The sequence below is a fragment of the Homo sapiens genome, chromosome 21 (assembly GCF_000001405.40).
Source record: "Homo sapiens chromosome 21, GRCh38.p14 Primary Assembly".
Taxonomy (NCBI): Eukaryota; Metazoa; Chordata; class Mammalia; order Primates; family Hominidae; genus Homo; species Homo sapiens.
Window position 1 is genome coordinate 25,561,859 of NC_000021.9, and position 23,285 is coordinate 25,585,143.

Below are 23,285 nucleotides of genomic sequence, written 5' to 3' on the forward strand. Positions count from 1 at the left end.
CTTGCGGCGCGGTGCAGGAAAGTACACGGCGTGTGTTGAGAGAAAAAAAATACACACACGCAATGACCCACGAGAAAGGGAAAGGGGAAAACACCAACTACCCGGGCGCTGGGCTTTTTCGACTTTTCCTTTAAAAAGAAAAAAGTTTTTCAAGCTGTAGGTTCCAAGAACAGGCAGGAGGGGGGAGAAGGGGGGGGGGGTTGCAGAAAAGGCGCCTGGTCGGTTATGAGTCACAAGTGAGTTATAAAAGGGTCGCACGTTCGCAGGCGCGGGCTTCCTGTGCGCGGCCGAGCCCGGGCCCAGCGCCGCCTGCAGCCTCGGGAAGGGAGCGGATAGCGGAGCCCCGAGCCGCCCGCAGAGCAAGCGCGGGGAACCAAGGAGACGCTCCTGGCACTGCAGGTACGCCGACTTCAGTCTCGCGCTCCCGCCCGCCTTTCCTCTCTTGAACGTGGCAGGGACGCCGGGGGACTTCGGTGCGAGGGTCACCGCCGGGTTAACTGGCGAGGCAAGGCGGGGGCAGCGCGCACGTGGCCGTGGAGCCCGGCCTGGTCCCGCGCGCGCCTGCGGGTGCCCCCTGGGGACTCAGTGGTGTCGCCTCGCCCGGGACCAGAGATTGCGCTGGATGGATTCCCGCGGGCAGAGGCAGGGGGAAGGAGGGGTGTTCGAAACCTAATACTTGAGCTTCTTTGCAAAGTTTCCTTGGATGGTTGGGGACGTACCTGTATAATGGCCCTGGACCAGCTTCCCTGTTGGAGTGGCCAGAGAAGTGTGTAAAACACACTAGAGGGGCAGGGTGGAAAAAGAGACTGCCTTCAAAACTTGTATCTTTTCGATTTCATTTTGAAAAATAACTACAAATCTATTTTAATTTTACAAAGTTAGACTCATAGCATTTTAGATATCAATGTCTTCATTTAACAGAAGTGAAGATGGAGCAAACGCTCAATCAGCGTCTGTATTTATTCGCTCCTGTTGTGCCAGGGTGCGTTTTTGCCGAGCGGTTGCCTTTCTTTACTCACAAAACCCCCTTGATGTCTGTCCTCCACGTTTTACGAGGGAGAGCCGGATCTTTTGAAGTTTGTATCATCTAAAGCAGGTATATTGGGATGACTATGGATAGAATTTAACCTGAAAACACTGAAGTTGACAGCTGACAAAGATATAAGAATCCAAAGTATGTTAAAAATTAAGGAGCTGAGGCCCACAGAAGTGAAGTTACTTTTCCAGCATCACACAGCAGATCTAGGACCCTGTGTGATTTGAAAAGGCCAAGGTATCTAATGATGCTCATAATTTAGTTTACATTTTGTGTCAAATAGATGAGGTCAAGTGGACATTATGTGTATATTCCAAAGCCAAAATTACTGCTTGTAATATCCATTCATCTCTCCGAAGACGTAGTGCCTCTTTTATATGGCTTTAACCTAATGTATAATCGAAGTGAATTAGGGCAGCCAGACTTTTAATCACAGGACTGATCTTTTAAAAACGGGTATATGTAAAGTTAATTGCTTATCTATGTGAACAGTAATATACACTATAAAAAGTTTTCAAGGCAACTTCCTGCCTGTGGTTTAATTTGATAGTCACAATGATAGGAAATTGGCAGGGTTAGGTGGTGGTATCTACATTTTGCCCATGAGGACTTGTGGCTCAGAGAATTTGAGTTTTTTCTAGTAAGGTCACTAGGTCCCTAGTGCACAGCCTGCTTTTAGGTACGGATGTGGGATGGGGGTGTCGGCAGACCACAGGGTTTTGACTCTCAGTTTGGGCTCATTTCCATGACTCCTTGCTGCCTCCCTGATTTCTGTCAAATGACCAAAGCACATTTAGTAATTACTTCTGCTGCAAGGACTACTCCTTATTAGGCTGTGATAAGTAAGTTTCCTCACATAGTGGGTCAGCTCACTCTGGCCACAGGACCCAGCTTCCTAACCACACACATTAAGAAAGAGAAAAATTAGCACTGTCTGAGACCTACAACCACTTCAAGGGAGAACAGTGGTGTTTGCACAAATGTCTACTTTTGTTTTAACCTAGTCATGTGTAAAAAGTGTAATTCACTGGTCTTTACCAAAAAAAAAAAAAAAAAAACAACAACAAAAAAAAAACAGGCATCATAGTCTGCCTGTGCTGGACGCTATGCTAGACACTGGAGAGACAAAGGTGAGCAGGATAGGCACAACCCTACCCTTACAAACCCAGAAAGTTAGAGGAAAGGCCATCAGGACATTGCTGTGCAATTTGATATCATTTCAATTTTGGTAACATAGATATTTGAACTAATTAGAATGTGCTACAAATTTTGCCATTCTTTACTTTCCATATGCCAACATGGAAAATTTGTAACCCTCATCTTTAAATACCTCATCTTACCAGTCCTCTATAAATCAAAAAATCTACCCCAAAAAGCCCTAGGTTTTAACTTTTGAAAAGTTTTTTTTTATCAGCTTTTCAGGTCATGACTAAGATCTGCCATTCAATTTAAAGGAATTCTTTCATTTTAGAGTAATAGTTACTAAAATCCTTTATTCCTACCTCCTTGAGAATCTAATGGAAATTTTATATGCTCTTCCCAGAAAATTTTTGTTAATGTGTATCCTCACACACCAATTTGCATTCGATGTTAGCAGGCTAGAGACTTCCTTGAATCTCAGCCATGACCCTCTTCGGGGGTCCACTTTCATAATCAGTATTCTAAACCTAGTAGGCATAAATAGCTTGAATAGAGGAAAGTGGTATGTAGACTCTTGCCCTTCACTTGGACTGGGCACCTCTATCACTTGGACTGGGCACCAGCTAGTGCCCTTAACTAGCTGGTGTCTCCATTTTTGATAGTCATTGGCTATTGCTTAGCTGAAGCTATTGATTTTAACAGCCTTATTGTTTTGATATCAGGCTGCCACTCTGCAGAAGTCTAATACTGGGGAAGGAGCACCGGCCTGAGAACCATGGTTTGTTTCTAGGACCAACTCTGCAGATTTCTGTGCCTCATTTTGCTCATCTCTAAGATGGGTGGTTGATGGGTGGCAGGGACTGAACCATTTCTAAAATCCCTTACACTGATGAAATTCTGTGATTCCAGTGTAACTACCAAGCTCACTTTCATATACCTCCTGAGACACAGCTGGTCTTAGTGAATTTATATCCTCTATGTCCAAAGTAAGTCAAAGTAAGTACCACTATAATTCACTATAGAATGTATTTTTGTCTTTCACTGATCTTACTGGACTCAAAACTGTTACATGTTTCCTTAAATTAGATAGAATAAAAAAATTGTGAAACACTACTTTTCAAGGAAAAATATTACAATTTTAAAAGCCTCTTTTTATCCCACCTCTCAGTAGCTACAACTTTCATATACGAGTTTCACATATATATGAAAAAAATTTTCTTATCTCAGACTCTTAAGGAAATGCAATGCTTTTAATATGATCACTGCTGTGTAATTCTCATCTGCCCTGAAACACTTGTTCTGTCCATCAATCAATGTATTTGGGTTTACAATATGCAGAGCCTCAAGCAAAACCAGTGCAAAAGCACATCTATCCTCAAATAGGCACATCATATGTCTGAGCAGTTCAGCATCCTCACTCACAAGTCCAAGGCTCTCAGCAATGTGGAAGAAGATGTGATTCCTAAAATTACCACCCTTACACACAGTGACACACTCACCAGAAAGTGAGGCTTAACATAGCTTAAGTGGCTGTAGTTTAAAACAGATTGTGAATATCTGTGCTAATTCTGAGAAACAATTAGCAGACATATTAACCAATTAGCACAGATCACTAATATCTGTGCTAATTGTTAGGACAGATTAGCACAGATATTGCTACCTTGTGTGGGTAGACAGGGTTAAGGCACTGGCAGAAGGAAAGATTAGTGAGGAATATCAAATAGCTGATTTAATGAAATTGTGAGGCCGATGTTTGGATAAGGTGAAACAGTGCCCTACAATGACATTTATGCCAGTTCTCCATAAACAAGAGTGTTCTACACAAATTATAAGTTCCTGGCTGTCTTAACAAAATGCTATGGTCCTTTATATGCTCACACAAATAATGGTTCCAAGCATGGGAAACAGGTGCCAGATTGCCCAGGTAGGCATCCCAGCAGCATGCTCCTTAGCCACTGATTAACCTTGCGCAAGTTATTTCACCTGCCTGTGCCTCAAGGCCCCTGTGTTTCAATGGGGAGGGTGTGAATACTCATTCCTAAGGTTGTGAGGAGGAATAACTGAGTTAGTATACGTCAAACACTTAGGTGCTTGGCACAGAGGGAGCCTGTGTAAGTGTTTGCTATTATTTTGTTTCACTAGATGATCTTGTGTATTATAAGAAATCAATTTGGAAGGTGAGATACAAATGCAGTCTGAGAAAGTAAAGACGTTTTAAAGACATTTTACTGTGTCATGAATTTTCAGAGACCACACTGACATGGTAAAAAGTTGTTTGGTTTTTAGAATTTTTGTTTCAGAATGCATATCCTTCTCCTTAACCAAAAGAAAAACTACTAAAATACTTCTGAAAATTATTTCCAAGAAAACATTTTGGTGTACCTTTTAGCAGTTACTTTATGACTTAAAGATTAGGATGAACAAAATAATTATTTTAACTTGGCTTTTACCTGCTTGTAGATAACCTCTAATTTATATAATGGTTCAATTATACAGTGGTAAATGTATCTGGGCTTGTTCTTTTAAAATAGCAAGTGTAACATGTGATAGATGTAGGGTACTTACAAAGTACTCACCAAGCATTGATGACTGATGTCATTAGTATCATGGCTAACATTCACTGAGCCCTGATTATGAGGCTGGCACCCAACTAAATGTTTTGCATTGTCACTTCATCTTCACAAAGACTTTTTGAATAGGTTATTCTTTATCTCCATTTTCAGAGAAGCAACTAAGCCCTAAAGAGGTTTATTAACTTGCCAAATACCACACAGCTAGTAACACTGGTGGGGTCTGGAATGGAACCCAGGCAAGCTGAAAACGACAGAACAATGAACACTCCTACTTTTCAATTCGATTTGCTAATTGTTAATATTTGCCACACTGGCTTATCTCTCTGTATCCCTACCCATCTCTCTCTCTCTCTGTCTATATCTATATGCAAACCTGGCATCTAACTTCTAAATGCTTGAGCACGGATCTCCTAAGAACAAGTACATGGTTCTATGCAATGAAAAGACATGATTATGGCATCCAAGAGTGATTTTAAAAATCAAGGATGAAACTTAATTTTTACCCACAAGTCCAGACGATGATTTCTACCAGTATTCTCCAGCTTTACTCTGTTTCTTATACTTGACAGACTGAGCTCCAAGCCTGGAATCTTCTAAAAAGGGTCCACTGCCAATCTGGAATGCCAACAAATCTTATTAATATATCTCCACATTTGTAAGCTTCTACTAAATTCTCCAAGAACCTGCATATCAGTTAAGTCCTGAAATGCTCCAGTGCCAAATAAAAGCCCACTGTGCAGATAGAAATGCTTTTGGTGACTCTCAAACATTTATTCAAAGGTATTTAGTGAGTATCTGTCAGCTGTATATCCAGCACTGAGGGAAGACTCAGTCTCTGCCATCACATACACCTCAGCACTAAGAAGAGACACATGAAATAATTACCATCCAGTGTGATAAGTGCTCTGACAGAGGATGGAGTGAGGACTAGTCACCTTGGGGAAGACAGAGAAGCAGGGTCCCACCAGGAGATGAGAAGCCAGCCTCCAGGAGTGCGCTATCTGAGAGGGCAAGAGAAGGAAGGCAAAGAGGACGGGTCCATACTTGAACAACTTGAAGTAGGTGTATCTAGTGCCTAAGAGTGTGTATGGTGACATCTTGTGGAGCAGTGAACATGACCCTCATTTGGTTTGTTAAAGCATTGGGTCAAATGCCACGGGAATGTAACAGGTAAATGGTCTTTGCCTTATAACACAGGGTATCCCATCCGTGTAAGACAATGAATTTTTAAAAAGGCAAAACCAAACCTTTTGTTTACATCATTTGCCTTAAATAGTTCTTAGTACACAAATTCTTCCTTGCTTGGGGCCATTATGGTGTGTGGAAGTAGAAAAAGATAAACTGTAGCTTACAGAAATAGAAAAGCAATTTTTTCCTATGATAGAGGCAAACGGATACAAAAAACAAACAGGTAACACATAATAAGTTCCAAATGAGGCATTTTGTTGAAATTCAGTGTTGAGCATAAACAGTGAACTCAAATGCACAGAGGAGGCGTCATGGAAGGGTGACAAAACACTCCAGAGCAATAACAGCTACCCTATTTTCTGTTCCCTGGGAGTAGGGAGAAAAGACATCAAAATCAAATTATAAATTTAAAAAAGTATTAAAATTCTCTTATGGAAATATATTAAGAAGTTTGTTAGGCAAATGGAAAACGTTTTGTGGAAACAAGAAATAAGAAAGAATGGCCATCACTTAAAGCAACAGAATGTATCTCTCCCACTAGCTCTCCCCTCCCTACCCACAGCTTTATTCACATTTGTTCTATAACATTTCAGCACAGTTCAGACCTTCCGCTGAGCCAGTGTGAGGTCAGGGTGTTGAGGAAGCGAGTCCCTGCAGTCAGACTCCAGCTGGCTGTCGTCCTGCTTCTGCTTATTCCACAGAATGAGTCTGGTGGGGGAGAGGAAATTCCTAACCTGTTTTTTTTTACACATCTTCATCAGAAAAGCGAAAGCACTAATTACTGTCCATAATAAAACTACTGGGAAGGTTACTTAGCTTGTAAGTAAGTTCCACAAAGCCATTTCAGTAAAAACTTCCTGGTTCTAAAATTGGGAAAAGCAGGATAATCCTCTAAGGCTGACATTCTTTCTCTTTTGTGCATTTACAACTAAACGGTCACTGATACACATTTCCACAGTGACCCTGCAATATCCACATTGGCTTTCTTCTAAGACACTTCAAAAATACATCACACCTTTATGTGTTAAATATCACTATTGGCATATATCTTTAAAAACATTTATTTTCTTAATTCTCAAAATACAGAAAAGAATGTTATGCTATTGTGTGCACAAACTGCTATTTTCAATAAGGAGCTCTTAATTTAGAAAGTTGCTATTTTTCAATAAAGAGCTCTCAATTAGAAAATATCAAGAAGTGATGTTAAGTTTTTATGGAAATAAATAAAGTATCATGACATGAAAAGTTTATAATTTTTCCCCCAGCAATGGCTTACTCAGGGAATTTTTCTTATATGTAAAGTTAATGATCTGAAAAGTGGTAATCTTATCATTCACCAAGATTTCAGGATATAAGTTATTCCTACAGAACAATCCATTTTTACCTTTAAAGATGAGTTTGTGTACTTCAGAAGATGTGACGCCAGTTGGCCACCATCTCAATCAGTAGTAAGTCACACCATCAATCCCTTGTTAATGATGGAACTCATGTGAAGTCAAGAGGAAACATAATACTCTTTACCTCATTCCCTGGTAGCAGAGAAGTTGACTCATCTTTAATGTCAGTTATTGAGATGTAACACAGAATCATATTCTACAGAAAATATGTGATAAACTTTACACAAATGAATACACTTTAGAAAGGCAGTCATTTGGATTTTCTTTTTGTCAGAGAACATTGCAAGTCTTCCTGAAGAATTTCTGAGAAATTAAACACTTTATATGACATTTTACAGCATGTAGAGAGGTTGAAACTCAGAGAACTAAAACTCAGATGATAGTCTAAATACTTAATTTGTTGCTGCTTTATGCTGGACATGAAAAGTGTGAGCTTAAATTATAAATAAAAAACTATTGAGCTATCAAACTATTTGGGGTACATCCTTATCTTTCCTCTAAATTACTCTTTATTCCCATTAAAATCCACCTATCCCGGGTCCTCTCTCCTCAGCCCTTCACCTCTGCTTTCAAAGATGACTAACTAACCTAATAAACACATCTAAGGTGATGTGTCAACTTCAACCCCAACCCTTTTTCCCCAGATAACTTGTCTGCATTTCAAGAACAACCTACCAGAGACCTTACCTGTCACCTTGGCTCTCCCACCCAATGGAGATGGCTCTAATGGTAAGGAATTCTATCTTAAGTAAAAGGGAAGGGAAACACGCTGACAGATGCAGTTTTTATAAAGGCAGGTCATTGGGGCACCAAGTTGGCAGCCGCTTTCAACTTTTGATTCTACCTCAAAAGGTAACCAAGAAATCGTTGTTATTCTAAAGATTATGACAAGTCCAAAGTTTCACAGAATCCTGATTTTTATACACTTGCATTAATCACTGCTTACTTCCATGATGTAAACCAAAACTGCAGCGGCAGAATATAGAGAATCAGAATAAATTCTGATAGAAAAGGCAGATACTGTTTCCACATATACAAGTATATGCTAATTGCTTTTAGCAAACTGATCCAAATAGGAATCAACATTATTCCATCTTAATGATTATGTTTTTGATTGGTACACATAAATGTTAAAGTGGGAAAATATGCAGAGAAAGTTACCTAAACTAAATCACTTTAATTTTCAACAACATAATTACATTCCATTTCACCTACTAAAATGGCTTTGGACCTAGAATTTGTATTGCTACATCAATATAAGATGACTTTCAGTAAAAATAGATGTACAGTTGATTTGTAACAACAAATTAATAGTTTTAAATTATTTGTATATTTCAAGGTAAATAAAATTAGAGCTATCCCACAATCGCTTTGGTTATGAAATTCGACCACTGTAACTTTTTTTAAAGAAAACTTTATGGTGTGCAGTTCCTTTGGTATGCAAATATTAAATGGTTGGTGCTGAGAATAAGCAGCAATATAGAAATATATATAATTGTAGAAGAATATAACCTATGATTTAGACATAAAATGAGATCCTTACAAGATAAAGAGTTATGGAGATGGATGATAATGATAGTTGTAGAACATTATGACTAAGTGTTTAATATAGCGGACCTGTACACTTAAAAATGGTGAAGATGTTAAACTTACATTATGTTTACATTACATATTTCACCACAATAAAAAATTTTTGAAGGAAAACCAGAACTTTAATGACAAACTTAGGACATATTATGCTCTGAATATATAGTTTTGATAACGTCTTTCCTGGCAAATCAACAAGGTAAGAATAAAAGGATATTCTGAAATCTTTTTTTTTCTTTGGAGACAGAGTCTTGCTCTGTTGCCCAGGCTGGAGTGCAGTGGCACAATCTCGGCTCACTACTACCTTCTGCCTCCCAGGTTCAAGTGATCCTCCTGCCTCAGCCTCCTGAGTAGCTGGGATTATAGGCGTGCGCCACCACGCCTAGCTAATTTTTTTGTATTTTTAGTAGAGACGGGGTTTTACCATGTTGGTCACGCTGGTCTCAAACTCCTGACCTCATGATCCGCCCACCTCGGCCTCCCAAAATGCTAGGATTACAGGCATGAGACACCACACCCAGCCAGATATTCTTAAATCTTATGCTCACACTCCACCCCCCCCAAAAAAATTGTCCTTCAGGAAAGCATAATTTAAGGAAAAATTTCCCAAAGTGCCACCTTCAGCTTCATTCTTAGCACCAGAGGAAGAATTGCCTGTCATATAATGAAAGATCCTTGGTGTTATCATTAATCTAGTATACATAGTGCTTCCTCTTGGTAGATTTTTACCTACTGTGAGAAGGAATGATTTTGATACTCAGACAGTGTGTAGTAATTTGTTAAGAACATTTAACTTGGAACCTATGCTACACAGTAAAACTTATACTGACAATGGATATTTCATGTGGTAGGCCTAAGAAGTATTGTGGAGTGAGGGGACTGGAAGTATATCTGCAGAACTACCTAGTCAAAGACCCCAGTCTAATTTCTAATATATAATTCATATAAATTACTCTTGCATTGCTATACATTAAACATTATGCTTGTCACATTCTTACTTGGTTAGCACTGTCACTACTGATTGTCAGGCCTATAATTGTGTATAATTCTTCCCCTGCCACTTTACCAGCTGGTGGCCACACCGATTCCAGAAAGAACTACTTTATTTCTTATTACCTCATGAAAGCACCCTCTGCCCAGTGCCTTGGCTAATAGACTGGCCTTTGTTGTCTATGACCACTAATTCCCACTCAGGCATATAGCAATTCTGTTGTTGGTTGCTTAGCCCAGTCAAAAACACTGGAAGTGGACATAGACTCCACACTGATGAATGAATGACCTTCTAGTCATTCTAATGTCCTTAAAAGTCTACTATTTTTAAATTGTAGAATATATATATATATATATATATTTTTTTTTTTTTCTGGGATATTTCTCCTTTCTTCTGTTCATTAATGTTTTTCATCTATCATTGTGTTTTAAATATGACCTAAGGTTCTATAGTATATTTAGACAAACTTCTCATTTCTCTGCAGTGTTCGGAATTCATCATGCCTGTATGACAAGGTTGTGTTTGAGAACAAAAGGGGACCTGTGTGACATGTTTTATTTCAATATACATTTAGAGTTTGAACAAATAAAAAAAGCTATTAGAATTTTTAATATATATAACACATTATCAAAAACACTGTCACTTTTCTGAGTGCTCTAATCAGGCAATTCGTATGTATATTTAAAAAGAGGGAAAAAGCTAATTAGTATACTAAATATATTTATTTTAATACCTGTGCTCATATGTTATCTTTAAAGAACAGGAATAAAATTTATGGGTAGAATAGTATGCCAGCAATTTACCTTCAATACAAATTAAACACATCTTTTAAGAAAAGGGCGAGTTATATTGGCTGGGGTGGCACTAACACTACATTATTAATATGTATTTATTGAGCATTTACTGTGTCCAGGACCCTGTAAGGGGGAAAAAAAGTCCTTGTTTTTACAATCTTTATTGACTGAAATTCTGTAAAATGAATTGAATTCCTGAAGTGACATCATTTAACCCAAATTTTTTCATCATCAACTAATTCATCTCAGAAAACAGTAAAGTTTAAAAAAAAATACTATCAGTAAGAATAATATATTTCCTTGGTTTGGAAATTTCCAAACCACGATATTCTGCCCTGTCAAAATATATTCACTGGGGAATTTTTTACTTCATACGTTTCTTTTGAACTTAGTCACATTTTTATATCTAGCTGGTTTCATTATTAAATAAAAGAAAAGGTGATTCCCCTCTTGTACTGCAGGAGACCACATACTTGAATGATACTCTAACTTCTAGGTTCTGTTATAGTAACACTGAAATCAGAAACCTGTGGGAGAAATGTCACTTTATCTGAGAGAGTAAAATCAGACTCTAAAAGGAAGTAGCAAATTCATCTTGTTCTTTTTTTTAATCAACCCTCTGCCTAAGACAAGTAGTTTGAAACACAGAGGACTCTTTAAGTCATACTTCCTTTATGTAGTCAAAACCAAAGCCACTGGGTAGTGCTTTCCCCAAAGGAATCTCTAAATAGTAGACGGGGACATTTTCAGATAGATTCGTTTGTAGGCAAACCTCCATTGCTTGTATCACATTTCCTGAAAGAATAAAGGTAAAACTTCAACTATGTATTACAGAAAGAAAAATTCAGCCTGAACCCTACCCTTATAAAACAGGTTAATTGGGTTTTAATTTTCATAAATCATAAAGGACTATTTTGAACATTTGGGCCTTTAATTGTCTAGCTCCTAGATGAAGTACAAATCAGAAAAAAAAAAAACTGTACTGTGTCAGAATGCAAGCTTTCCTCTTTGCATTTTGGCATTTGAAAACTCCGAAGAGCGGTTTTTGTTTTTTATTTAAAGAAGATGATACATATGTGTACCCGATTCAAAACTAGAGAATAGAATTTAAAACATAATTTTCAAAGTCTTCAAATATGCCTAAAGGTAACAATGTCATCTTTTAATTGCCAATTTCTCTACCACTTTCAAAAAATTACTTCCAAGGATTTAATGAGCTCCTTCCTTTCAACAGAAAATGGACTATTTTCCTTTCAGATTTACTATATGCTGTCACTCCAGCTTTATAACCGCATGTGCATACACAAACATTTCTTTCTCTCTTGCAGGTGGCACAAACCAGGAAGGGGAAATCTGTGGTTTAAATTCTTTATGCCTCATCCTCTGAGTGCTGAAGGCTTGCTGTAGGCTGTATGCTGTTAATGCTAATCGTGATAGGGGTTTTTGCCTCCAACTGACTCCTACATATTAGCATTAACAGTGTATGATGCCTGTTACTAGCATTCACATGGAACAAATTGCTGCCGTGGGAGGATGACAAAGAAGCATGAGTCACCCTGCTGGATAAACTTAGACTTCAGGCTTTATCATTTTTCAATCTGTTAATCATAATCTGGTCACTGGGATGTTCAACCTTAAACTAAGTTTTGAAAGTAAGGTTATTTAAAAGATTTATCAGTAGTATCCTAAATGCAAACATTTTCATTTAAATGTCAAGCCCATGTTTGTTTTTATCATTAACAGAAAATATATTCATGTCATTCTTAATTGCAGGTTTTGGCTTGTTCATTATAATGTTCATAAACACCTTTGATTCAACTGTTAGAAATGTGGGCTAAACACAAATTTCTATAATATTTTTGTAGTTAAAAATTAGAAGGACTACTAACCTCCAGTTATATCATGGATTGTCTGGCAACGTTTTTTAAAAGATTTAGAAACTGGTACTTTCCCCCAGGTAACGATTTTCTGTTCAGGCAACTTCAGTTTAAAATTAATACTTTTATTTGACTCTTAAAGGGAAACTGAAAGGCTATGAAGCTGAATTTTTTTAATGAAATATTTTTAACAGTTAGCAGGGTAAATAACATCTGACAGCTAATGAGATATTTTTTCCATACAAGATAAAAAGATTTAATCAAAAAATTTCATATTTGAAATGAAGTCCCAAATCTAGGTTCAAGTTCAATAGCTTAGCCACATAATACGGTTGTGCGAGCAGAGAATCTACCTTTCCACTTCTAAGCCTGTTTCTTCCTCCATATGGGGATAATACTTTACAAGGTTGTTGTGAGGCTTAGATGAGATAGAGAATTATTCCATAAGATAATCAAGTGCTACATTAATGTTATAGTTAGATTAATCCAAGAACTAGTCACCCTACTTTATTAGAGAAGAGAAAAGCTAATGATTTGATTTGCAGAATATTTAAGGTTTGGATTTCTATGCAGTTTTTCTAAATAACCATCACTTACAAATATGTAACCAAACGTAATTGTTAGTATATTTAATGTAAACTTGTTTTAACAACTCTTCTCAACATTTTGTCCAGGTTATTCACTGTAACCAAATAAATCTCATGAGTCTTTAGTTGATTTAAAATAATTTTTATGGCCCATTTTCTTTTGCAAAGTACAAATTATAATTCCAGAAGCTATCTGCCAAAAAAAGACAATGGAAGAAAATTATGAGGACACTAAAGGGAACATTCCTGACTCCTAGGACACAGTATTCTCATGTAAGAATACCCATTTGGCTTTGCCCCACTTTCTGTTCAAGTTGTATGTGCTGCCAAGACAAATTTCTTCTCCTCACTTTCTGTTCAAGTTGTATGTGCTGCCAACACAAATTTCTTCTCCTAACACCTGGAATGAGCTTGTGGCTCCACGGAGCTCCCATGTAGGTAGAACACATTCAAGAGTGTTTCTTCAGGCCAGGCACAGTGGCTCACGCCTATAATTCCAACACTTTGGGAGGCCAAGGCGGGTGGTTCACTTGAGGTCAGGAGTTCTACACTACCCTGGCCAACATAGTGAAACCTCGTCTCTACTAAAAATACAAAAATTAGCTAGGCATGGTGGTGCGTGCCTGTAATCCCAGATACTCAGGAGGCTGGGGCAGAAGAATCACTTGAACCCAGGAGGTGGAGTTCACAGTGAACGAAGATCGTGCCACTGCCCTCCAGCCTGGGTGACAGAGTGAGACTCCATCTCAAAAAAAAAAAAAAGTGTCTGTTCAATTCATTTTATCTGCCACTGTATATCTACAAGAGGACTCCTTGCTTTGAGTCCCAGTTCTTCAAAATCCTGCTTGCTGCCTAAAGACACAAAGTCATAGAACATTAGGACTGGAATAAACTATTGTAGTATAACCTTCCTGCTGTTACAATAAAAAGCTATAAACATTACAAAGGCACTTAAAGAAAAGCTGTGCTGGGAAATGCCTTATTTGAAGAGCATTTGGGTACACTCACATGAAGCTTTGGAAAGTTACTTAATCTTCCTCTAAGCCTCAATTTCTTCATCAATAAAATGATGAATATATTTCATATTTCATAAGATGTAGGCTTAAATGAAATCATGCATGTGAAAAGCACAATGTCTATTATGCATTAAGTGTTAAACACAAACTTTCAAACTTTTACATTTCAGTCATTTAAATCAAATGATCTACCATAGCAGATCTCCCCAAAGACACTCTAGCTCCAAACTAACTATAATCAATCCCGTGGTGACGACCCAAAGAACCAGGGTTCCTGGGTTTTCTCTCACGCCCAGCCCACCTAGGCTTCTGACTGCCTATCTCCTCATCTTAGAGGGATTCCTCCTGACCAGTCATTACAAAAATTCTTGGAGCATGAGCAAGACTGAGTCTGTGTTTGGATTGGAGGAAGGGGTAAGTAACAAGGTATATATATGTATATGTGTGTGTGTGTGTGTGTGTGTGTGTGTGTGTGTGTGCGCGCGCGTTTGTGTTTAAGTTACAAACTAAGGATGGTTTTAAAAAATTGCAAAATGTTAAGAGATTTATCTAGGATCTGACCCACTTCCCCAGAAATTTACGGAATTCAAGACCAAGCCTTTCGTATTCACTGTCATCAGTTAGATGGACCCAGTAGCTAAAAAATTAAGGAGAAAAAAAATAGAGGAATATGAGGGAAAAAGTCAAGTCAGAGGACTGAAGAATATATACAGAACATAGAATATTAGAAATTTTCTGAAAATAGATGATAGCAAATACCTCAAGAAAGTGAGGAAACGTGAAAAGGGAGCTTAAAGAAAAATAATAGAGTCCATACATGGGACACAAGCACAAAAAGCTGACTGAGCATGTGGTTCTCTACTAATAATAACTGGAAAACAGTGAAACCAGCAGGAAAAACTTGCACATAAGAGTTTAACTTTCCACTTTGGGTTTCAAATTCTCCCATAGCAATAAGAGTAAGTGAAATAATGTTCACATAAGGATTTTTTTTTTTTCTATTACTGTAGTGTTTTGTTTTGTTTTGTTTTGGTTTTGGTTTTTGGTGGTTTTTTTTTTTTTGAGACAAAGTCTCGCTCTTGTCCCCCAGTCTGGAGTGCAATGTCATGATCTTGGCTCACTGCAACCTCCGCCTCCCGGGTTCAAGTGATTCTCCTGCCTCAGCCTCCCAAGTGGCTGGGATTACAGGTGCGTACCACCACGCCCAGCTAATTTTTTGTATTTTAAGCAGAGACGGGGTTTCACCATGTTGGCCAGGCTGGTCTCGAACTCCTGACCTCAGGTGATCCATCCATCTCAGCCTCCCAAAGTGCTGGGATTACAGGTGTGAGCCACCGCACCCGGCCTGTTACTGTAGTGTTTTAACAAATCTAAGTGTAATAGTATTAGTCTTCATTCATCTAAGACATACAAGTACTGGAATTTTTTAGGTGGGTTCCTCAAATGTCATCACAGTGGTGTCTTCTCTACATTCAGTCACTCTTCCGCCCTTCTCTGTAATGCTCAGGGATTTCCCAGTTCACTAGCACTTAACATAGTATGTCCTTACTTACTTTGGGGTATAAATGACTGCAATAGAAGAAGTGATATCCTTGAGGGATGAAACACGATCTTGCATATTCATATCCCTTTCAAATGTTTACTGACTTAATCACACCATTAGTTTTCTAAGTCCAAGTCTAAAAACAGAAATGAGTTTAAATACAGTGAACATTTCATTTTCACTATACCACTAAGCTGAAAGAAATGATTTTTGGTAAATAAAAGTTCATCACAGTGAAAAGTTCTACATATAACTGAAGATCAAAGGATTCTCACCTGGGAAGCTTGTCAAGATGCATGTTCCCAAGCTCCCAGGCTCCCACTCCCAGAGATTCTAATACTGTAATGGAGCTGAGGACACTACATTTTTAACAGGCTGACCAGGTAGTTCAGATTCAGGTGGTTCCTAAACCAACTCTGAGGAAGTAGTGGTTTTATATACGATGCTACTGTTGATGTGGCTACTAGGAATGGTGCTCAGCAGAAATCCTGCAACATATGGATCTGTTTACACACTATTCACTGTGTAATGAGAGTCTGCAACATAGGCTAAGTAATAAGAGATGTCTTGTGGTTGACCTCTCTGGAGATAAGCAGCAATGAAATTCCAATGAAGTTTCATCATCTCTCATCACCAAAACCATCCTAACCACCTCAATAAAATACACCTGACTTCCCCCGCTCCCCCGACCCACCACCCCAAAACCAGCTGCCCTATGTTCTACCAAAAGCTGCAACCAACCAATGACCTGATACTAACCCCAATCTATCAGCTGCTGCCTAGTGCAACAGAGAGGGAAAGTCAATGAGAAGGAATTGGGTGCCAGTTCTTGCTTTGCAAGGAGTGGGTTGACTAATGAGACAGCCACAAATGTCACTGCCATCCCATCTCACCCTTTCACCTGTGCTGCAAGGCTTCAACAATCATACCCAGTCTCCACTTAGGAAAATTCTGTCCTTTCTCAAATGCTGGCCACTCAGCAATGTGCTCCCTTAATCCAGGCCAAGCACATAGTAAAAGAACTCCAAAAAGGGTTACAGCCAAAAGTGATCTTTCTCCTCCATACTCCCAAAGCAGATTATAGCTCCTCCATAAACGTGCTTCGCATTGTGCCCCACGTTTGGTTTGTTACTTGTGTATACATTATCGTCTCTTCTAGATTGAGCTTCTGTAGGAAAGGAGAATCCTTTTCAATTTTTTGGTATTACACCCAGCTCAGGACCTTGCTCAGTTGCTTAAATTGAATGAGAAAATGTATCTAAGTACCCACTGATGTTGGAAATTCAACTTGTTCCAATATTGAGGACTGCCTATACCTGGCATATGCGTGTCCCAATTTGAGAAATTGTTTTTCAAGTTGACTTGTATGGATTCCTTACAGACGCTCAAGCATCAGTTTGGTTTTCCCTAAATCCTGCAGATCAGGAAGGCAGTATCCATGTTTGCTTTAAGAAATTTCATTACTATAAATATATGAAATATTATAAATATAAAAATTCATATATTATAAATATATGAAATTTTGTCTGCAGAATTTTTTTCTCAACAGGCAATCCTGACATAATAACCAATTTTGAGATGCTTCAAAAATAACACTGCAGTAGTAGCCACTCCTAAAACAAAATATTTCCCCTTTCCTTCAATATATGTAATCACATATGACATATAAAATCTGCTTATTGGATAAATTTATCTTTAAAAGACTATCTATATTTATTAAAAGTTAAAATACATATACTCTTTGACCTGGAATCAAGTACAACAATGTATTTTACAGAGCTACCAGCACACGTGTGGAATTATATATGTACAAGGCTACTAACTGAAGTATTAGTATAGTAACAAAAATTAAAAATCAACCATAAATAGGGAATAAATAATGGTACACCTATGAATGAAATACTAACTTCTAAAACACAAAGTAAAAAGAAAGGGAAAATAAGGAAAACTGGATTAATCCAACATATGACAGGAAAGGAGAAAAAAATAATGCAAAGAAATGATAATCACAGTAAAGTGAATACAAATTAAAATTTATCTACTAAAAGACAGTAATTCAAAGACTAGATTTAAAAGGAAAATAAGTTTTATGCTATTTACAAAAGACAGACTTAAAACCTAACAACATAAAAATGCTGAAAGTAATATACCAGGTAAACACTAAAAAAAAAAAAAAAAAAAAAAAAAACTAGTATTAACAATAGAACCTGATTTTCTAAAAAATAGATTAAGAAAACTAGATTAAAGGAGAAAATCATTATTACCGAGATAGAGAGGATCATTACTTAAATGATAAAAAGAAGCAATTTATCAGCACGTTTAAAAATCCCAAAACAGAATACACAGTGCTAACAAAATCATCTTAAAATAAAATAAGCAAATGCTGATTTAGCCATAGGAGAAACCGCCAAATCCACAATCATTTTAGGAGAATGGGTTTAAGAAAGGAAAAAAAAAAAAAAGATTTCTGTATGCTCTTAAGAGAAAATCTAAAAAATAATGACATGAAAAAGTTGAAAGGAATGGAAAAATATGTACCATTAAAAGGAAACCCGACGTATGAATGCCATTATCAGACAAAACAGATTTTTTTCTTTTTGAGATGGAGTCTCACTCTGTGGCCCAGGCTGGAGTGCAGTGGCACAATCTCTGCTCACAGCAAGCTCCGCCTCCCAGGTTCATGCCATTCTCCTGCCTCAGCCTCCCAAGTAGCTGGGACTACAGGCACCCACCACCACACCAGGCTAGTATTTGTATTTTTAGTAGAGACGGGGTTTCATCGTGTTAGCCAGGATGGTCTCAATCTTCTGACCTCGTGATCTGCCCACCTCAGCCTCCCAAAGTGCTGGGATTACAGGCATGAGCCACCGCGCCCAGCCAGACAAAACAGATTTTAAGACAACTAAGAAGTTAACAAGCTGACCCTACAATAAGCATGAAAATTTTGAAAAAGAATAGGAAAGGAGAACTCACCATAAGAGAAATTGAAACTTGTTATAAAGCTATAGTTGTTAAAACGGTGTTACTACAGTGGTACATGGACAGATAAATGGACCAATGAAGCAGACCCAGGCACTGAAAGGAACCTTTTATATGACAGCATGGCACAATCAGTAAGAATAGAGAGGAAATAGGCCAGGCACGGTGGCTCACGCCTGTAATCCCAGTACTTTGGGAGGCCAAGGCAGGCAGATCACCTGAGGTCAGGAGTTCGAGACCAGCCTGGTCAACATGGTGAAACCGCGTCTCTACTAAAAATACAAAAATTAGCTGGTCGTGGTGGCAGGCACCTGTAATCCCAGCTACTCGGGAGGCTGAGGCAGGAGAATCACTTGAACCCGGCTAGCGGAGGCTGCAGTGAGCCGAGATCACGCCATTGCACTCCAGCCTAGGCAACAAGAGTGAAACTCCATCACAAAAAAAAAAGAAAAAGAGTAGACAGGAAATAAATGGTCCAGAATAACTGCCTATCCTTGTGGAGGAGAGGGTGATTCAAAATTAGGTCCCTTTCCTCACTCTATATGCAAAAAACAAACTTCAAATAAATTATACAATTAAATGTGAAAATCAAGACTTTAAAATAAACAATGCAGTAGGCTGCTTTATAATATCAAGTTAGGGAAGGCTTTCTTAAATTTCATAAACATAAATCATAGAGGAAAAGATGAACTGTCTACCTTAAAATTAAAGACGATATAAACAAAATTAAAAGGTAAGCCAGACAAAAGAAATATTTGTAGTGACAACGGTTTAACTTTCTTTCTTTCTTTTTTTTTTTTTGAGACGGAATCTCACTCTGTCACCCAGGCTGGAGTACACTGGTGCAATCTCAGCTCACTGCAACCTCCACCTCCCAGGTTCAAGCGATTCTTGTGCCTCAGCCTCCCAAGTAGCTGGGATGACAGGTACGCACCACCACACCCAGCTAATTTTTTGTATTTTTAGCAGAGACGGGGTTTCACCATGTTGGCCAGGCTGGTCTCGAATTCCTGACCTCAGGTGATCCATCTGCCTCAGCCTCCCAAAGTGCTGGGATTACAGGAGTGAGCCACTGCACCTGGCCCACAAGGGTTTCACTTTCTAAAAATATAAAGAACTGGCCAGGTGCAATGGCTCACACTTGTAATCCTAGCACTTTGGGAGGGCAAGGAGAGCAGATCGCTAGAGGCCAGAAGCTGGAGAACAGCCTGGCCAACATGGTGAAACCCCATCTCTACTTTAAAAATATAAAAATTAGTTGGGTGTGGTGGCACTTGCCTATAATCCCAGCTACTTGGCTACTCAGGAGGCCGAGGCAGGGGAATCGCTTGAATCCAGTAGGCAGAGGCTACAGTGAGCCAAGATCATGCCACTGCACTACAGCTTGGGCAACAGAGTGAGACTTGGTCTCAAAAAAAAAAAAAATTATATATATATATCTTATATATATACACTATTATATATATACACACACACACACACACACACACACACACACACACACACAATTAATATGAGATGCCCAAAAATCCAATTGTAAAAAGGGGCAAAGGTTGTAAACTGGTAATTCATAAAAACAAATGAAGAGATGCTTATTGGTACTATATGCTCAGTATTAAGCAAATTAAATGAGATAGGATCGTGCATATTCAACCAACAAAATATCTGAATGTCTGAAAATAATAAATGTTAATGAGGGAGTGGAGAAAATGGGAATGCTCATACTGCTGATAGAGAGTAAACTGGTACAACTATTGTGGCAGCCAATTAATATTTAGTAAAGCTGAAGATGCATGGTCCACTGTGGTACAGGCCCTGGAGATATTATCAAATGTGTACACAAAGAAACACGCACAAGGATATTTTCTGCGATACTGTAATACTCAAAAGCCAATGACATCCTCAGTGGTCATCAATAAGAAAATGAATTAATGATGGGATTAATCATATAATGAAATACTATATAGCAGTTGAAATGAATGTACTCTTTACATGTATCAACATGCTATACATAAAAAACAATGATGAGCAATAAAAGCAAATTGCAAAAGGATATATATTATGAAACCAATTATGTTTAGTTTTAAAACACAGAGAATACTATGGATTGTAGTAAAAAAAAATATAAAATCATGAAGAGTAAGGACAGGTACAAACAGGATAGTGGTTCTTCTTGAGAGGAAGGAAATGACATAACAAGACCTTCAATGGATGTGCAGCTTTTCCTTTATTTAAACACAAAAGGATCTGAAGGAAATAAGGAAAAAGGTTGACAGTGGTTACAATTAAATAGTGGCTGTATGTCAACACTCTTGGTTACAAACAACAGGATCTACACTAGCTAGTTTAAACAAACAGAATAAAATGGCTCACAAGTCACAGGCGTGGAGGTCAGGACTACGGAGCCCCCAAAAATGCCCATTTTTATACCTTGGAGCAGCTGCGGGGGAAAAACTGCTAAGCAAAGCCTCCACACCTTGCACCATTACATGGGACCTCTGCCACTGCTGCCTTGAAAACCACATCACTGCTCCGTTCAACAAAATGTATCTCATACTACTCTTGTCTGCAAAGTACTTGCTTCCAGATTTCACACAGTTATGTCTAATTGGTGAGCCCATGCTACCTGTCTGAGCCACAGCTGCAAGGAAGGGCAGGAGATTAAATTTCATTCTTCTACTGGGTAAGGCGAGATCCACAGAGTGGGAAGTTGCCAAAAAGCAGGTGTTCAAACAGTGCTAGCTGCCCAAAAAGCACGAAAAGTGCCCACTCAAACAAGAGTTGGTGAAAATATTCTCTCTACTTTTCTGTATGCTCAAATATTTCACAATTTTTTTAAAGAAAAAATGTCGAAGTATGTAAATTCACAAACAACAAAGGGAATGGAAAAAAAATCAATAAACAAGAGACGTCAACCAAATTCTAAAAGACAAAAAGCTAAGTGACTAATAAAACACTAGAGAATGTCACCACCTAGAAAACATGTGGAGGAAGTTCCATCAGAGGCAGCCAACCGGCCCAGCTGGGCCTTAGCTCAGAGGCAGCAAAAGTTCATAGATGATAGAAGACAGTAGAGGGATTAGTTAAATCTAAACTAATTAAAAAGAAAGGAATTAATTAAAGGTCTGTATACAAACTGGTTGAACACTACCCCATCTTCAAATATAGAAGGGCCTAAATCCAGGAAGTGCCCCATGCAAAATATTGAAGGGATCTTTATTATAAAGTAAGTGAAAGAACAGTCTGGGTAAAACTAGGATAGTCAATTTAGAAATCGGTAGCCAAGACAAGACCTCTTCATTCTAGCATTTTAAAAACCCTCATCCTACCAGCCAGATTTACCTACTTATCCTTAGTGATGCTTATGAGAAGCCAAACCTTCCTCAAACCACAGAGCTGCCACTCAACCTCCCTACATCCACATCTTCAACTACAAACTGACAGCCAACAAACGTAAGACATTTGAAAAAAGCCTGAAACATGTAGATGAAAGACTAAGAAAAAAATCTGTCACTGGAGAAAAGAGATGATTCAGGGACTAGAAAGTGAATGAAGAAATGAATAAAAATTATATTGATATCTTCAGAGAGCTTCATGAAAATACTTCACATCCAGAAAACATGAAAAGGATTCTATGAAACAGAAGCAAAAGAGAGCTTTCAGAAATTAAAATATGCTTGACATAATGTGAGTAAAATATAAATGCAGGAAAAATAATAGAGAAAGGGAAAAAAATACAGAGGACCAATACAGACGATGCAAATACAGCTGAAAGGTATTAGAGAAACAAAGAACCTCCAGAGAAAAGAAAGAACAAATAAAGTAAAAAAACATAAAAGAGAGATGTCAAAAATTGAAAGGATCGCCTACGTACCAAGCAGAATAACTGACTGAAGACCTAGATACAGGTACAGGATTGTCGAATTTTACAACACCAAGAATAATAAGATCCTAAGTGTCCAGAGTGTGTTGAGAGAAGGGGATGCAGAGAACAGGTTATATAAAAAAGGAACAAGAATCAGACTGGCATCAGACCTTTCATTAGCAAAATCAGATGCCAGAAAATAACTGAGCTGCTTTCAAAGTTCTAAGAGAAAACTACTTTTCAATCTAGAATTCTGTATCTAGCTGAATAGTTCATCAAATGTAAGCGCATAACCCACTTTAGACATGCAATGGCTCACCTCTTAGACATTTTTTCCTAGAAAGGAGCTTAGAGACAAATGCTAGCAAAATGAGAAAGTTAATCAAGAAACAGGAAGATATGGACTCTAAGAAAAAGTTGACCTCACCCAGAAAAAAAAAAAAAAAAATACGGCCTTCAGAGGAAGCCTGTGCACAAGATGCAGAAAACTTGCTGACAAAGAAGCAGAAACTTTTTGGCAAAATATTTTTGTAAGACTGATAACCAAGGCTTACTCAAGGTGTGGGGAAACAGGCACTCTTAGACAGTTATTGGGAGTAACACTTGGCAAAACCTTTGGGAAGCCAGCATCTGGTAGCACCTGACAGTAATTCCACTGCCAGAAATCTATTTCTACAGAATTATTTATACGTGAGGCAACATAGAGTAGAAC

At 38.2% G+C, this 23,285-nt stretch overlaps 2 long non-coding RNA genes and 1 other non-coding gene across 3 annotated transcripts, besides 10 other annotated features; 2 read left to right on the forward strand and 1 right to left on the reverse strand.

Moving 5' to 3' along the window:
* Positions 252-341: a silencer, noted in NCBI's record as "silent region_13225". NCBI's record gives its function as "represses an Ori minimal core promoter by ATAC-STARR-seq in GM12878 lymphoblastoid cells {active_cell/tissue: GM12878}" and the evidence as "EXISTENCE:reporter gene assay evidence [ECO:0000049][PMID:35858748]".
* Positions 287-13,310, forward strand: MIR155HG (MIR155 host gene). The gene is made up of 3 exons (NR_001458.3): positions 287-399; positions 7,979-8,063; positions 12,035-13,310. It is a non-coding gene; the product is annotated as an MIR155 host gene (long non-coding RNA).
* Positions 352-631: a silencer, noted in NCBI's record as "silent region_13226". NCBI's record gives its function as "represses an Ori minimal core promoter by ATAC-STARR-seq in GM12878 lymphoblastoid cells {active_cell/tissue: GM12878}" and the evidence as "EXISTENCE:reporter gene assay evidence [ECO:0000049][PMID:35858748]".
* Positions 3,014-3,093: an enhancer, noted in NCBI's record as "active region_18309". NCBI's record gives its function as "activates an Ori minimal core promoter by ATAC-STARR-seq in GM12878 lymphoblastoid cells {active_cell/tissue: GM12878}" and the evidence as "EXISTENCE:reporter gene assay evidence [ECO:0000049][PMID:35858748]".
* Positions 3,552-3,611: a silencer, noted in NCBI's record as "silent region_13227". NCBI's record gives its function as "represses an Ori minimal core promoter by ATAC-STARR-seq in GM12878 lymphoblastoid cells {active_cell/tissue: GM12878}" and the evidence as "EXISTENCE:reporter gene assay evidence [ECO:0000049][PMID:35858748]".
* Positions 7,357-7,406: a silencer, noted in NCBI's record as "silent region_13228". NCBI's record gives its function as "represses an Ori minimal core promoter by ATAC-STARR-seq in GM12878 lymphoblastoid cells {active_cell/tissue: GM12878}" and the evidence as "EXISTENCE:reporter gene assay evidence [ECO:0000049][PMID:35858748]".
* Positions 12,066-12,245: a silencer, noted in NCBI's record as "silent region_13229". NCBI's record gives its function as "represses an Ori minimal core promoter by ATAC-STARR-seq in GM12878 lymphoblastoid cells {active_cell/tissue: GM12878}" and the evidence as "EXISTENCE:reporter gene assay evidence [ECO:0000049][PMID:35858748]".
* Positions 12,122-12,186, forward strand: MIR155 (microRNA 155). Its single transcript, NR_030784.1, has one exon. It is a non-coding gene; the product is annotated as a microRNA 155 (primary transcript).
* Positions 13,797-13,946: an enhancer, noted in NCBI's record as "active region_18310". NCBI's record gives its function as "activates an Ori minimal core promoter by ATAC-STARR-seq in GM12878 lymphoblastoid cells {active_cell/tissue: GM12878}" and the evidence as "EXISTENCE:reporter gene assay evidence [ECO:0000049][PMID:35858748]".
* Positions 14,339-14,388: an enhancer, noted in NCBI's record as "active region_18311". NCBI's record gives its function as "activates an Ori minimal core promoter by ATAC-STARR-seq in GM12878 lymphoblastoid cells {active_cell/tissue: GM12878}" and the evidence as "EXISTENCE:reporter gene assay evidence [ECO:0000049][PMID:35858748]".
* Positions 16,849-16,918: an enhancer, noted in NCBI's record as "active region_18312". NCBI's record gives its function as "activates an Ori minimal core promoter by ATAC-STARR-seq in GM12878 lymphoblastoid cells {active_cell/tissue: GM12878}" and the evidence as "EXISTENCE:reporter gene assay evidence [ECO:0000049][PMID:35858748]".
* Positions 18,745-18,804: an enhancer, noted in NCBI's record as "active region_18313". NCBI's record gives its function as "activates an Ori minimal core promoter by ATAC-STARR-seq in GM12878 lymphoblastoid cells {active_cell/tissue: GM12878}" and the evidence as "EXISTENCE:reporter gene assay evidence [ECO:0000049][PMID:35858748]".
* On the reverse strand, positions 20,917-21,366 carry LINC00515 (long intergenic non-protein coding RNA 515). The gene has a single exon (NR_024092.2). It is a non-coding gene; the product is annotated as a long intergenic non-protein coding RNA 515 (long non-coding RNA).
* Between the last annotated feature and the right edge of the window lie 1,919 nt (positions 21,367-23,285).